Genomic DNA, 16,427 nt, shown 5'->3' with positions numbered 1-16,427 from the left:
TTTGGAAAACTGAGCATAATTTGATGGTGAAAAGACCTTGAAGTAAATTGAAAATGAATTTTGGGGATAAGTCATGAATAATGTAATGTCTTTGAATACAGTAGTCCTCCCTTATCTGCAGTTTTACTTAACTGTGGTCAATTACAGTCTGAAAATATTAAATGGAAAATTCCAGAAATAATTTGTAAGTTTTTTTTTGTTTTTTTTTTTTTGGAGACAGGGTCTTGCTCTGTTGCCCAGACTGTAGTGCAGTGGGGTGATCATGGCTTACTGCAACCTTGACCTCCTGGGCTCAAGCAATCCTCCCACCTCAGCCTCCTGAGTAGCTGGGATTACAGGTATGTGCTGCCACACCTGGCTAATTAAAAAATTTTTTTTTCTCATAGAGATGGGGTCTTGTTATGTTGTCCAGGCTAGTCTCGAATTCCTGGGCTTCAGTGATCCTTCTGCCTCAGGCTCCCAAAGTGTTGGGATTACAGGCGTCAGCCACTGCACCTGACCAATTTAATGAGTTTTGATAAAGTTATACACCTATGTGAATCATTCCTATTGTGGTTGCTGTAGTTAATCCCCATTGTTGTGATTTTTTTGTTTTATTTTCAGAGATGAGGTCTTGCCCTGTTTCCCAGGCTGGAGTGCAGTAGTGTGATCATAGCTCAGTGCAGCCTTGAGCTCCTGGGCTCAAGCGATCTTCCTGCCTCAGCTTTCTAAGTAGTGGGGACAACAGGGTTTGTGCCACCGCACTTGGCTAATTTTTGGGGGTCTTGCTCTGTTGCCCAGTCTGGAATTGTGATATCTTTTACCATAGATTAGTTTTTCTTGTTCTTGAACTTCACATAAGTAGAATAACAGTGTGTTTTCTTTTGTGTCTGCTTCTTTTGGTCAAAATAATGTTTTTGAAATTCATCCGTGATCTTGTACATATCAGTAGTTCTTTTTAATCCATGCATATTAATACATTGTATGAATATAATACAGTTTATTTGTCCTATCTCCTATTTGGCTATTATGAATAAAGTAGCTATGAAGTTTTTTTTTTTTTTTTTGAGACAGCCTGTTGCTCAGGCTGGAGTGCAATGGCACGATCTCGGCTCACTGCAACCTCTGCCTCCTGGGTTCAAGAGATTCTCCTGGCTCAGCCTCCCGAGTGCTGGGATTACAGGCATGTGCCACCACATCCGGCTAATTTTGCATTTTTAGTAGAGATGGGGTTTCTCCATGTTGGTCAGGCTGGTCTTGAACTCCTGACCTCAGGTGATCTGCCCACCTCGGGCTCTGAAAGTGCTGGGATTACAAGTGTGAGCCACCATGCCTGGCCCTTTTTTTTTTTTTTTTTTAAGATGGGGTTTCTCTCTTGTCGCCCAGGCTGGAGTGCAATGGTGCAATCTCGGCTCAGTACAACCTCCACCTCCCAGGTTCAAGTGATTCTCCTGCCTCAGCCTCCCGAGTAGCTGGGATTACAGGTGCCTGACACCATGCCTAGCTAATGTTTGTATTTTTAGTAGAGACAGGGTTTCACCATCTTTGGCAGGCTGGTCTTGAACTCCTCCTGTCCTCAGGTGATCCACCTGCCTCGCCCTCCCAAAGTGCTGGGATTACAGGCATGAGCTACTGCACCCAGCCGCTATGAAGTTTTGGCTGTGAGTCTTTTTGTAGACATACACTTTCATTTATTTTGGATAAATGAATAGTGGTGGAATTACTGAGTTGTAGGGAAGATGTATGTTTAACTTTAGAAGACAATGCTAAACAATTTTCCCCAAGAAATTACAGGCACCCGCCACCAAGCCCGGCTAATTTTTGGTATTTTTAGTAGAATCAGGGTTTCACTGTGTTAGCCAGGATGGTCTTGATCTCCTGACCTCGTGATCAGCCCGCCTTGGCCTCCCAAAGTGCTGGGATTACAGGCGTGAGCCACCTCGCCTGGCCAGTTTCTTTTTATATCTGTTAAAACTTGTAGTATTATTTCTTGTATTTCTTGGGGAAATTTGTAAAATTACCATTTTACATTCCACTCTGCCATCTATAAAAGATCTAGTTGAGTGACAAATCAGAATTGAGTTTTAGAAAGATTATTCTGGTACAGTGGGCAGGCCGGGTGTGGTGGCTCACGCCTGTAATTCCAGCACTTTGGGAGGCCGAGGTGGGCAGATCACAAGGTCAGGAGTTTGAGACCAGCCTGATCAACATGGTGAAACCCCGTTTCTACTAAAAATAAAAAATTAGCTGGGCGTGGTGGTGTGTGCCTGTAATCCCAGTTACTCAGGAGGGTGAGGCAGGAGAATTGCTTGAACCCAGGAGGCGGAGGTTGCAGTGAGCTGAGATTGCACCATTGCACTCCAGCCTGGGCGACAGAGCGAGACTCCGTCTCAAAAAAAATAATAAAAAGAGTATTCTAGTACAGTGGGGTATAAGACTTGGAATAGGTAAAACACACAGTAAAGTAATACACTTGAAAATTGATGTATTCCGGGCAGGCGTGGTGGCACATGTCTGTAATCCCAGCTACTTGGGAGGCTGAGGCAGGAGAATTGCTTGAACCTTGGGAGGTGGAGATTGTGGTGAGCCGAGATCGTGCCACTGCACTCCAGCCTGGGTGACAGAGGGAGACTCCGTCTCAAAAAAAAAAAAAAAAGAAAAGAAAATTGATATATTCCTTATCCAAGGAATTGGTAGGGAGGTAGATAAGCTTATGGATTCTAGCGCTGTAAGGACATGGAATCCTTAGACTTGATATATGGGGTGAGGATAAGGTAGGGATCAGGTGACCCCTATGTATCTGTTATAGGCTGCTGGATGTTGGTATGACAATAGAGTGAACACTGTGGAGGAAAAGATTTAAAGGGAAGGAGTGATGAGTTCCATTTTGTTTGTAAGTAGTAACTGGGAGTAAAGGAAGTATGAGATATCTCTGGGAGTGTGTGTAGGAAGGATGGAGTAGAATTGGAATGTTGGGGACCAGTAACATTTAAGAAATGAGCTGATGAAGAGTCTGCATAAGAACAAAAGGAGTAGCCACTATAAAAGGAAACCAAGGAAAGTGATTTAACAGAAGTTAAAAGAATAGAACTTTGAAGAGGGAGGAAGCGGCTGGAATGTTGTTAGTGTGAGTAAAAATACAGACTTCTCGCCAGGCGCTGTGGCTCTCTCCTGTAATCCCAGTACTTTGGGAGGCCGAGGTGGGTGGATCACCTGAGGTCAGGAGTTCAAGACTAACCTGGGCAACATGGTGAAACCCTGTCACTACTAAAAATACAAAAATTAGCCGGGAGTGGTGTCAGGTGCCTGTAATCCCAGCTACTTGGGAGGCTGAGGCAGGAGAATCACTTGAACCCAGGAGGCGGAGGTTGCAGTGAACCGGGATCGGGCCATTACATTCCAGTTTGGGTGGCAGATCGAAAAAACAAACAAACAAAAAAACCCAGACTTTTGGAGGTTTCTTTTTCTTTTTTTTGAGATGGAGTCCCGCTCTGTCGCCCAGGCTGGAGTTCAGTGGCGCGATTTCGGCTCACTGCAACCTCCACCTCCCGGGTTCACACCATTCTCCTGCCTCAGCCTCCCAAGTAGCTGGGACTACAGGCACCTGCCACCACGCCCGGCTAATTTTTGGTATTTTTAGTAGAATCAGGGTTTCACTGTGTTAGCCAGGATGGTCTTGATCTCCTGACCTCGTGATCAGCCCGCCTTGGCCTCCCAAAGTGCTGGGATTACAGGCGTGAGCCACCTCGCCTGGCCAGTTTCTTTTTATATCTGTTAAAACTTGTAGTATTATGTTACTTGTCCCAGTAGTTATACTTTATGGAATAAATCCTAGAGAAACGTACACATGTGGAGAAATGTCTTTAACATATATTAATAATAGTAAAAAATCGGAAGCACTCCAAGTATCCATCAATAGAGGATTGGTTAAATCAAGTATAGTACATTTATATTTATATGATGGAATGCTATACAGCTGATGGAGTATGGTGTCTATACTGTGTTACTTTCCTGTGCGGCTGTAACAAATTAGTACAAACTTAGTGACTTAAAACAAATTTAATCTCTCACAGTTCTGAAGGTCAGAGTTCAAAATGTTTCACTGGGTTAAAGTCAAGATTGTAGCAGGGCTGGTTTCTTCTGGAGGCTCTGGGGGAGAATCTTCTCTAGCTTCTCGAGCTGCGTTCCTTGTATTCCTTACTTTGCATTCCTTGTCTCCATCCTCCATCTTCAAACCCAGCAGCATAGCATCTTCAAATTTTTTTCTGTTTGTGCCTTCACATTGTTTTCTCTCTCATAAAGACTTATGTGATTATATCAGTCACAACCCAGATAATTCAAGATAACCTCCCTTCTCATGATCTTTTTTTTGTTGTTGAGATGGGAGTCTCACTCTGTCACCCAGGCTGGAGTGCAGTGGTGCCATCTCGGCTCACTGCAGGCTCTGCCTCTCGGGTTCATGCCATTCTCCTGCCTCAGCCTCCTGAGTAGCTGGGAGTACAGATGCCCACCACCACACCCGGCTAATTTTTTATATATTTTTTTTAGTAGAGACGAGGTTTCACCATGTTACCCAGGATGGTCTTGATCTGACCTTGTGATCTGCCTGCCTCGGCCTCCCAAAGTGCTGGGATTACAGGCGTGAGCCACCGTGCCCAGCCTACCTCAAGATCTTTAACTTAATCATAGCTGCAAAGCACCCTCTGCCGTATAAGATAACATAGTCACAGGTTCCAGGTATTGGGATGTGGAGCTCTTTGCCTGGGGCAGGTAGGGTGGCAGGGGGCGTGAGAGGAGGGAGGGAATTAATCTTCGTACCACAAATACTGACAAGGACAGAAGATCAAAGTACTTTAAGTAAAATAAATTGTCAAGGAAATATGTAAAATTTTCTAATTTTGTAAAATTTAAAACATTACATATATACCTAAATGTCATATGTATTATTAGAAAAGAAATCTTGATGAATATATACCATATTGTTAACTGTGACTGTCTTTGAGAGTGAGATTACAGAGTACTTGGACTTCCATTTTCTTCTGGATATTTGGGTTCTTAACATGTATTTTCTAATCAGAAAAATCAGAATAAAAGGAGAGAATGGTACTGGGGCATATGTTGCAGAGAGATCAAGTTAAGATAAGGACTGTCAAGTGTTTACTTGATTTAGCAACAAAGAGGTTCTTGGTAAGTAACCTTGGTTAAGTGTGGTTTCAGAAAAATGGCAGAATAGAATTTGCAATGAAAAAGTGGGAGGTGAGAAAGGAAAGAGTGAAAAGCTAAACATTTTTTGTAGTTGCTTAGCTATGGGGAAGGGAGAATACAGTGAGACACAGGGTACTTAGGGGGATGTAAGATTCAGCGAGATTTTGTTTTTGTTTTGTTTTTTTGAGACAGGGTCTTGCCCGGTCGCCCAAGCTGGAGTGTGGTGGTGCGTTCATGGCTCACTGCAGTCTTGATCTACTGGGCTCAAGCAGTCCTCTCACCTCAGCCTCCTGAGTAGCTGGGACTACAGGCATGTGCTGCCACACCCGGCTACTTTTTGTATTTTTTGTAGAGATGGGGCTTCATCTTGTTGCCCAGACTGGTCTTAAACTCCTGGGATCAAGCAGTCCACCTGCCTTGGCCTCCCAAAGTCCTGGGATTACAGATGTCAGTCAGTCACCACACCCAGCCAAGATTTTTAAATATGGCAGAGGAGCAGGTTTAAAAATTGAGAGCAGAAACTGGGAAGAAGGGAGCAATCACCTGAGCTCTAGGAGAGTCCAAAGAGCATAAGCTCTGACGGAAGTCTTCTGACTTTAGACAGAATACCTACTTGCCTATGGCAGGTGAGAACTAGAAAGGTGTGGATGTGTTGGAGTTGAGTATGTAACACTTTAGATTCCTTTAATATTATCAGATTTAAAAAAACCTCTTGCAGTCCTAAATGCTTTTTTGGCGTCTTCTGAAAGTCTTTTATTGTGTAGCTGTGTATCTTTAGTCTTGCTTATGTACTCTCATTGTATTGACTTGTCCCAGAAATGTCTGATTTTTTCTGTAACCTAGTATATGGAGCTCAGGGAATTAAGACCTTAGTTTTCTATTATAGTGCAGCATTTTGAGGATTTTTTTTTTCCTGTTATATTTGAAACTAACCATTGCATAAAAAATTTGCTTATATGAGTTCTCTTTTTTTTTTTTTTGAGATAGGGTCTTGCTCTGTTGCCCAGGTTGGAGTGCAGTGGTGTGATCTTGGCTCACTGCAACCTCCGCCTCCGAGGTTCAAGTGATTCTCTTTCCTCAGCTTCCCAAGTAGCTGGGATTATAGGCGTTTGCCACCATGCCTAGCTAATTTTTGTATTTTTAGTAGAGACAGTGTTTCGCCACATTGGCCAGGCTGGTCTCGAACTCCTGGCCTCGAGTGATTCACCCGCCTTGGCCTCCCAAGGTGCTGGGATTACAGGCGTGAACCACTGTGCTCTGCCAAAAAATCTGCTTATTTGAGTCTGTATAAATTTCCTGGAATGTTACAACAGTAAAGCATTAGAATTATTGCTTAATTCAAGGAAACCAAGATTCAAAGAGCTTAAATAACTTGTCAGAGCCATACATCTTGTTAATAGAACATGGTGCTTTACCTGGTGAGATGCTGAAGACCTTTAAAAAATTATTTTATTGATATTTAGTATATTTGTGCCAGGATTCCCTGATTTTTCACATGTATCTTTTTCCAGTTTTGATTAAGAGAACATTTTTTCCACCTCATAATTTCATCACTCTTTTCTTTTACGTATATAGTAGTTCCCCCTTATCCTCGGGAGATACATTCCAAGACTACTAGTGATACCTGAAACTGTGGATGGGACCAAATCCTATGCGTAGCATGTATTTACCTGTTCATACCTACCTATGATAGAGTTTTATTTATAAATTAGGCACAGTAACAGAGTAAAGACAACAATTAATAATTATTACTAGTCAAATATTATTAAGTAAAATAAGGATTACTTGAGCACAAGCACTGTCATACAGCAACAATAGTGGATCTGATAAATGAGATGCATACTAAGTAACTAACAGGCGGATAGCATATACAGTATGGATACACTGGGCAAAGTGATGGTTCATGTCCCAGGTGGAACAGGGCAGATGGCATATAATTTAGAATTGATGAATTGGATTTTTTTTTTTTTTTTTTTTGAGAGGGAGTCTTGCTCTGTCTCCCAGGCTGGAGTGCAGTGGTGTGATATCAGCTCACTGCAACCTCTGCCTCCACAGGTTCCAGTGATTGTCCTGCCTCAGCCTCCCGAGTCGCTGGGATTACAGGTGTGTGCCACCACGCCCAGCTAATTTTTGTATTTTCAGTAGGGACAGAGTTTCACCATTTTGGCCAGGCTGTTCTCAAACTCCTGACCTCAAGTGATCCGCCTGCTTTGGCCTCCCAAAGTGCTGGGATTATAGGCTTGAATCACTGCGCCTGGCCGAGAATTAATGAATTGTTTATTTCTGGAATTTTCCATGTAATATTTTTGGACCAGCTTGATGGCAGGTAGCTGAAACCATGGAGAGTGAAACCTCAGATAAGGAGGAACTACTGTACCTGTGTAGTTAAAGTAACTAAAATGGCTAGCATTAAAATAGAGTTTTTAGGCCTTTGCTATGATCTAGACACTATTTACCCTTTTGGAGGATTATATTGAGATTTTTATTGACATTTTAGGATTTTTCAAAACAGTGGTAATTCTTATTTCACATTGGGCAGGGAATGATAGTGCTGTTGAGCATACTTAACATAGTGCTCGATATATTGTGTATACTGAAATTTAAAATTCATATAATATATGCTATATTTTAAGAGTTACTTGTTCTGAATTTGTATTTTTAAGGACTAGCATGAAACATAAGGAAACAGGTATTTTAATACCTTTGCTGCTGTCAAGAAAAAATTGTGTGTGGATATCCTTTTTTTAAAAAAACAAAATGAAACAAAACAATTTTGTGTTTGTGGCGTTGGAAGGTTGAGGTTAGGGAATAGGCTTAGCTCCTCACTTGCGAGCTTGAACAGCTTAGGTATAACAATTTTAGGTGCAGCTTAAATAATCAAATTTCAGTTTTCCAGTGTTCTTATTCAATATATTTTATTAATTATTATTATTATTATTATTATTATTATTATTATTATTATTTTGCAGGGTCTTGCTCTGTCACCCAGCCTGGAGTGGAGTGGCATGATCATAGCTCACTGTAAACTTGAACTCTTGGGCTCAAGTAATCCCAAGTGTCAGACATCTGACACTTGGACAGACTCCTGAGTAGCCAGGACTACAGGCACATGCCACCATGCCTGGCTAGTTTTTAAAAGATTTTTTTGTGGATATGAGATCTCAATATGTTACCCAGGCTGATCTCGAGCTTGCAGCCTGAAGCGACCCTCCCGCCTTGGCTTCCCAAAGTGTTAGGATTACAGGCATGAACCACCATGCCCCGCCCTTTCCCCCCAGTTTTAATACAAAAGAATTTGTGGGGAAGTCAGTAATTTGGTAATACAGCAAAGTGGTTCATGTAATAATAATTCCTTCTCTATGAAGGAAGACAACTTTAGGTTTGGTAGGGAATCCAGCAAAATTCTGTGTTGAAAAGAATTTGATTATAAAAAGAATTGATGCCTGGGAAATAAAGTGGCATGGTGTAGTAGAGCATGGGTTTTGTTTCGTGTCTTTGTTGTTTATAACTTTTCTGGGTCTTTTTTTTTTTTAATCAGAAAAATATGTGTCTTGATATTTACTGTGTAAAGTTGGTCATGAGGAGTGGAAATAATAGCATGTAGTGCCTATAACAGTACTTGCTATATGTTTTGGTGGTCAATATAAATAGCAGCTATATTAATTTTGTGATTATGATATTAAAGGAAGGCTAAATGCATAAAGCAGCCGGTCTTGGTGGCTCACGCCCATAATCCCAGCACTTTGAGAGGCTGAGGTGGGAGGATCACTTGAGCCTAGGAGTTCAAGACCAGCCTGGGCAACATGGTGAGACCCTGTCTCTATTAAAAAAAAAAAAAAAAAAAGGAAGGAAAAAAAATGCAGAAACCTCAGATGAAATTGAAGATATATATAAGGAATGTCTGGTAGCAGAATTGATTTCAATTTTGTTGAATTACCAAATGGTTAAGTATATTACCAAAATTACCTATATGACAGTTTTCTCATGTTAATATGGAGGATTATATTGTCCGCCTCATAAAACTGATGTATGTGCTTAAAAATATTAATTATTCTATTTGTTGGATGATTTAGGTTGGCCTAGTAGCAGAAAAGGTCCTGGGTTTGTATAATTCTTTTATAGATTGTGTTTACCGAAGCATATAACATTAAATAAGACATAATTTTTTGGCATGTAGGAAACTTATTTCGGATACACAGACCATGGTAATTTTCGTTATTTGTAACAAATAAATTGTAATTTGTTATTTATAGTTTTAAGGTCATTATTTCTTCATAAGAAATAAGTATAACCTAGCAATGACTATACTGGACATATTAACTTGAAAAATCTTTTAATACTAGGTAGTAGATTAAATGGCTGGTTAAAGTATTTCATTAATTATTTTTGAATGAAGTTGCACTTGTATAGTTCAAAAGGTTTCAAATGCCAAATAAATCCTAATTCTTCAAGGTAATTGCATGCTGTATCTTGTACAGTTTTGGATATCTTGAAATAAGTTTGGTAATCAGTATCACCAGCTGCTAACTCTGGTTTTATTGAGTCTAAGGATATGGCTGGTATTTTTCGTTACATTGGACCAGGGAGAGGAAGTTTAAGTGTTCTGTCTCAGAGTAGAAACGGAATTATGGAAAGAATTCTTGCCACACCTGTGGTCTACTATCATTTTAAATATTCCTAGATTAACAAACATTGAAAATGCTAAAACTGAGTAATACTTCATTTATTCACGTGAAATGTCTTGATCAGATAACACAAAAATATCAGCTGTACTCAGATGTTTTGAACTGTTGCAAAAATGAGTGTAGGTATGTGTGGTAACTTTGTATGTAGCTTAAGATATTTCTGAGCTGTTTAGCTGATTTAGGGGGTTTTATTTAGCTGGAGAGCAGTGCATGTGGTACTATTTAGTGAAGTTCTCTAGCAGTGAATATAAATATGTATTTGCAGCTAAAACACAAACTCATACTACTGGAGCATTAAATATAAAAAAATTAACCACAAACCTGACATTTTATATTTAGATTTTTTTTTAAACTTAAGCCCTGTAACCAACATAGATTAGTTTGGTGTTTCTCTTACCCTTCGTAAACTTCCATTTGCCTCTGATACAGGCATGTAATTATGATGTGGTAGCCATTGGATGCTTTTTCTCTATTAATTTTCTCTCATTTTCTCTTCTTTTCTTCCTTTCTTTAGAAACTGTTGCTTATAGTTTATGAAGTTGGAAGGTTTCCTTTCATGTAAATTTTATTATTTATTTTTTAAGAGACTCCCTCTGTCACCTAGGCTGGAGTGGAGTGTCACAATCATAGCTCACTACAGCCTCAAACTCTTGGCCTCAAGTGATTCTCACTCCTGGGCCTCCTAAAGTGCTGGGATTCCAGGTGTGAGCCACCATGTCCAGCCCCAAATGTTTAAATTAAATTAATTAATTTAGTTTTAAAGACAGAGTCTTGTTCTTTCACCCAGGCCAGAGTGTAGTGGCATGATCATAGCTCATTGCAGCGTCAAACTCCAGGGTGCCAGTGATTCTCCTGCGTCAGCCTCCCAAGTAGCTGGGACTACAGGCACACACCACCATGCCCAGCTAATTTGGCCTCCGAAAGCACTAGGATTACAGGTGTGAGCCACCGTGCCTGCCTCAAAATGTTAATTTTAAAATCAGGAAAATTTCCGATGTTTCTGTTAGGGTTTATAGGGTTTATATTTAATATAAAAATTATCAAAATTTTTATTGATATTCTTGAGACCTTTAAACATTTATATTTTATATATGTATTTATTTATTTGAGACAAAGTCTCACTCTGCTGCCCAGGCCAAGTGCAGTGGTGTGATCATGGCTCACTGCAGTCTTGACCTCCCAGGCTTAAGCAGTCCTCCCACCTCATCTTCTCAAGTAGCTGGGACCACAGGCATGTGCCACTACACTTGGCTACTTTTTAATTTATTTGTAGAGACAAGGGCTTCCTATTTTGCCCAGGCTGGTCTCGAACTCCTGGACTCAAGGGATTGATCCTCCTACCTTGGCCTTCAAGGTGCTGGGATTACAGGTGTGAGCCACCATGCACAGCCCCTTTTTTTTATTTTTACAGATTTAGGGGTACAAGTGCAGTTTTCACTACATGGTTATATTGTGTAGTGGTGAGGTCTGGACTTTTAGTGTAGCCATCACCTGGATAGTGTATATTGTACCCAGTAAATAACTTCTCCTTCCTTACCTGCCTCCCACCCTCCCACTCTGAGACCTTTTAAAAAATACTGGTTTTACTACATCGATGTAGCAGAAAAAGATTAAGTATAGTCTATAATAGGCTGTTTTCAGAGGAGTTGGGAATTTTCATGTGGTATGTTGATAATTTCATTTTTCAAATATAATTTCTGCCTTAATATTTTAGTTAATAGAATTTCTTAAATAGGTAATAAGATTAGTTTTAGGCAGGCAATAAAATCCTCAGGGTCATGACGTATTCTGATATGCTATGTTTTGACTTTTATGTTCTACAGTTAGTTTTAGCTTACCTTCTTAGCAGTGATTTATAGTTGTCATAACATTTAGGGCTGAATGTTTAGTATCTTGGCTCTATCATTTATTAATTAGCTAAGGGATCTTGGGTAAGTTGTTTAACCTCTATAAGCTTCAGTAAAATATATCTCAGGGTTATGGTGAAGATTAAATAAGATAATGAATCTAAAGTCTTGTCACAGTGCCTGGCTCATAATAAAGCATATAGTAAATGATGGTGGTAGCAGCAGCAGTAATGTGTCATTGTGTACATGTTTTGTTTCCTGAAATTTAGCTGTAAGGCAGGAAGGATCAGAGAGAGATAGAAATATGTTATATGCCTACAGATAATATTAACTTGGAGAAACATGCCATATAGACATCTAAGAAAAGATAATTGTCGTGTTACCATTATTTCCTCTTTTTTCCCTTTTTCTGTAATTCCTACTCTTGTGTTTTTTTATTTCTTCTGAAGCCAGTGCTCTGTGTATCTTTGCAACTTCCATCTCTCTCTGATAGTTGTTAGCTTAAATAAGTGAAAGACATAACTTGAAATTCTTCTTTTTGGATATGTTTTAAAACCTATATTCCATTTTAATATCAAGTATTTTGGTAATACTTATAATATGCAAGACATTGCATGGGCGTTTATTCCCATTTACAGAATTGGAACAACAATTCTTATAACCTGTTAAAAGATTGAAGATAGGTATTACATTTGTACTAGTCTTAAATCCTACTGTAATAAGATATTTGTACCAACCTTAAATCTTACTGGAACTAAGCCATTTGTGATAGCACACATCTGTAGTCCAAGCTACTTGGGAGACTGAGCCGGGAGCATTACTAGAGCCCAGGAGTTTGAGACCAACCTGGGCAATATAGCAAGACACCATTTCTTAAAAAAATCTTACTGGAACTGGTGTGAATATTATTTTTAACTCTCCACATATTAATTCAGTTGTATATCAGGTTTTTTATGGGCTCAGAGTTTTTAACTCCTTGAAAACTCCTTAAAGTGGGAGACATAACGATGTATGCAGATACAAATTAATGACCTTTTATATTTGCATTGATACAGCATTTTGAAATTTGAGCAAACATTTTAGGATGTACTTCTCAGTTTGATATATTGCTATTTATTTTGGAGGCAAATAAGAAAAGAACTGTGGATGCATTTGGCGTTACAAATACTTAGACAAATACCCACTAAAAAAAAATCGTGCTATAAGTCTGCACACTCTGGTTTGTAATTTTGTTTAAGCAAAGTTGCAGTTTAAATAATGATCCCTGAGATATAATTACCTGTCATTCACCTACCTGCCAATTTCCCCTAGTGTATGGTTTCTATAAAACTTACTATGAAACTTGAGGTACTTGTAATAGTCAATTTGAGACTAAAAATATAAATAATTAAAAAAATATGACATAGGTGGTAGAGCTTAGAGGTCTGTAGAAATTACCTATTCATTAATTCTTTTTTTTTTTTTTTTTTTGAGATGGAGCCTCGCTGTGTTGCCCGGGCTGGAGTGCAGTGGCGCTATCTCGGCTCACTGCAGGCTCCGCCTCCCGGGTTCATGCCATTCTCCTGCCTCAGCCTTCTGAGTAGCTGGGACTACAGGCGCCCACCACCACGCCCGTTTAATTTTTTGTATTTTTTTAGTAGAGATGGGGTTTCACCGTATTAGCCAGGATGGTCTCGATCTCCTGACTTCGTGATCTGCCCGCCTCGGCCTCCCAAAGTGCTGGGATTACAGGCGTGAGCCACTGCGCCCGGCCTATTCATTAATTCTTTATGCCACCTTTTTTTTTTTTTTTTTTGAGACAGAGTCTCAGTCTTCGCCCAGGCTGGAGTGCTGTGGCGCGATCTTGCGTCACTGCAACCTCCGCCTCCTGGGTTCAAGCAATTCTCCTGCCTTAGCGTCTCAAGAAGCTGGGATTACAGGTGTGTGCCACCACACCCAGCTAATTTTTTTGTATTTTTAGTAGAGACAGAGTTTTACCATGTTGGCCAGGCTGGTCTCGAACTCCTGACCTCAAGTGATCCTCCCGCCTCAGCCTCCCAGTGTGCTGGGATTACAAGCATGAGCCACTGTGCCCCGCTTCTTTTAGCCAACTTTTGTTGTTTAGTGTATACTAGCTGCTGTGCTCGTCATTAGGGAGGGAAGACTAGTACCCTCTCTTATTCAGAACAGGAAAAAAGAAAAAAAGATGCTTTTAGGCTCCAGGTCAGCTCCCTTCTCAGCTGTGCTGCTAACCTGCAATCCTGACCTCAGTAATGATCTCCTGATATCTTCAGCATTGTGTTGCTCTCTCCCTTTTATTTCCTTACTTTGTATCTTTTCAGATTAGAACATATTTTTCTTGTCATGACAAAGGACTCTCCAAAAATTAATTTCCCCTCATTTATGCAAAATAATACATATTTAACAAAATTTGGAAAAAGAAGTATAAATAATATTAAAAATCACAAAGTTAATGTCTTATATTGAATTTTATTGTGGTAATTGCTTTTGGCAGTTTCTGTTACTTCTGTTCTCTTTATAGTTTAGCCAGAGCAAACTATTAAAACTCACTTTGGTACTTGTATGCTCATGTTTATAGCAGCATGATTCCCAAGAGTCAAAAGGTGGAAATAACCCAAATGTTCCTCAGCATAGAGATGAATGCATAGACAAAATGTATGTGGGGGGGAGGGTATTTGTATATGTATGAATATGAATATTATTTAGCCACAAAAAGGAATGAGGTTCTGATACATGCTACAACATGGATGAACCTTGAAAACATTATGCTAAGTAAAATAAGCCAGACAGAAAAGGCTAGTTTTACATATAATGATATAAGTATGATCCCACCTATATGATATATATAGAATAGGCAAATTCATAGAGTCAGAAAGTAGATTAGAGTTTACCCAGGGATGCAAGAAAGGGAAATGGATATAGTATTTCTGTTGGGGATGATGAAAAAGTTTTGGAAAGAATGCTGATGGTTGCACAAGATTGTGAATGTATTAAATGCCATGAATCATACATTTAAAAATAATGAGAATGGCAAATTTTATATGTTTTACTATAAACATACTTTTAAAAAAAGTCTGTTTGAAACCGTTAAGGACTTGTAGCTAGTTCACAGTTTTACTTCTGAGTGAGGCTTAGGTGTCTCTCTATATATTGTTCATGCTCCATCATTTTTTCAAAAAAAGTACTGATTATGTGAGTGGTGAGTTTGTTGACAATTAAATTTTCTTCTTGGTTTTCTTTTTTTCCATAAATATGGATCACTTATAATGAAAACATTTACACATAAGAATTACTTTTTTTTCTTTTTGAGATGGGATCTCACTGTTGCTCAGGCTGGAGTACAGCGGCATGATCTCGGCTCACTGTAACCTCTGCCCCCTGAGCTCAAGCAGTTCTCCCTCCTCAGCCTCCTAAGTATCTGGAACGTGCGCCACCACACCCGGCTAAGTTTTTGTATTTTCGGTAGAGATGGGGTTTCACCATGTTGCCCAGGCTGGTCTGAGCTCAAGTGATCTGCCTGCTTGGGCCTCCCAAAGTGTTGGGATTGCAGGCATGAGCCACTGCGCCCAGCTAAGAATTACTTTAAAAACAAAATTACATTAGACAGTATTTGTCTTCTTTAGGCTGCTGTCTAGTGTCTTTTTTTTTCTATCTGCTCTTGATCATCTTTCACCTTTTTTTTTTGATGTGTAGGTCTCATTCCTTAATTATAAGTTTTATGTAACCATATTGGAGATAATTAGAAAAAAGAGAAAGAACTCTCTCTGACCCCAAATTTAGTATTCTGACATAACCTTTATTTTAATTTTGATGTATTTTCTTCATGTCTCTGCCTATATCTTTGATCTAATTTGAATATATGTGTAATTTGAGTTCTTTTTTCACTTTTTGTTGCATTAACATTTTGCATGTGGTCTGCCTGATTGTTGTCTTAACCAGATTTTTTTTTTTTTTTTGTGAGACAGGGTCTTGCCCTGTCACCCAGGCTGGAGTGCAGTGGCTGAATAATGGCTCACTGCAGCCTCTGACCTCGTAGACTCAATCAATAGTCCTGCCTCAGGCTCCTGAGTAGCTGGGACCACAGGTGTGCGCCACTATGCCCGGCTAATTTTTGTATTTTTTGTAGAGACGGGGTTTTGCCATGTTGCCCAAGCTGGTCTTGAACTCCTGGGCTCGAGCAATCCACCTGCTTTGGCCTTCCAGAGTGCTGGGATTACAGGTATGAGCCACCGCGCCCAGCCTTAACCAACTTTTTAAAACAAAATCACAAAAGGCTTACATGATACTAAAAAATTTTAAATACAGAAGTCGCTAAAGTAGCAAAGTTTTCTTTCTCTGTTTTTATTTCACTTGCTACATTCTCACTATCTTGAGGTAGCTGTTAATAGTTTCATAGCCTATCAAAATATGGTATTATATTGTATGTATATCCTATTCTTTACCTATATTTGATTGGCTCCATCAAATTGGGAACCATGTTATTTTTAATGGCTGCATCACATTCTGTTGTATGGTAGTGTCATAATTTATTTGCTTATTTTCTGATTGATGAACATTGTGGTTATTACCAGTTTTTTCTTATAAATAATTCTGTGATTTTTTTTTTTTTTTTTTTTTTTTGAGGCAGAGTCTCGCTCACTCTTTTGCCCAGGCTGGATTGTGCAGTGGCTCAGTCTCGGCTCACTGCAACCTCTGCCTCCCGGGTTCAAGT

At 39.5% G+C, this 16,427-nt stretch overlaps 1 protein-coding gene across 23 annotated transcripts in view; it reads left to right on the top strand.

The window, feature by feature from the left end:
• The window catches only part of EVI5 (ecotropic viral integration site 5), a 283,715-nt gene that overhangs the window by 18,167 nt on the left and 249,121 nt on the right, over positions 1 to 16,427 (top strand). The window lies entirely within an intron of this gene.

This window comes from Homo sapiens, chromosome 1 (assembly GCF_000001405.40).
Source record: "Homo sapiens chromosome 1, GRCh38.p14 Primary Assembly".
Taxonomy (NCBI): Eukaryota; Metazoa; Chordata; class Mammalia; order Primates; family Hominidae; genus Homo; species Homo sapiens.
The sequence above is the reverse complement of the archived record's forward strand: the minus strand, read 5'-3'. Positions and strand labels throughout refer to the sequence as shown.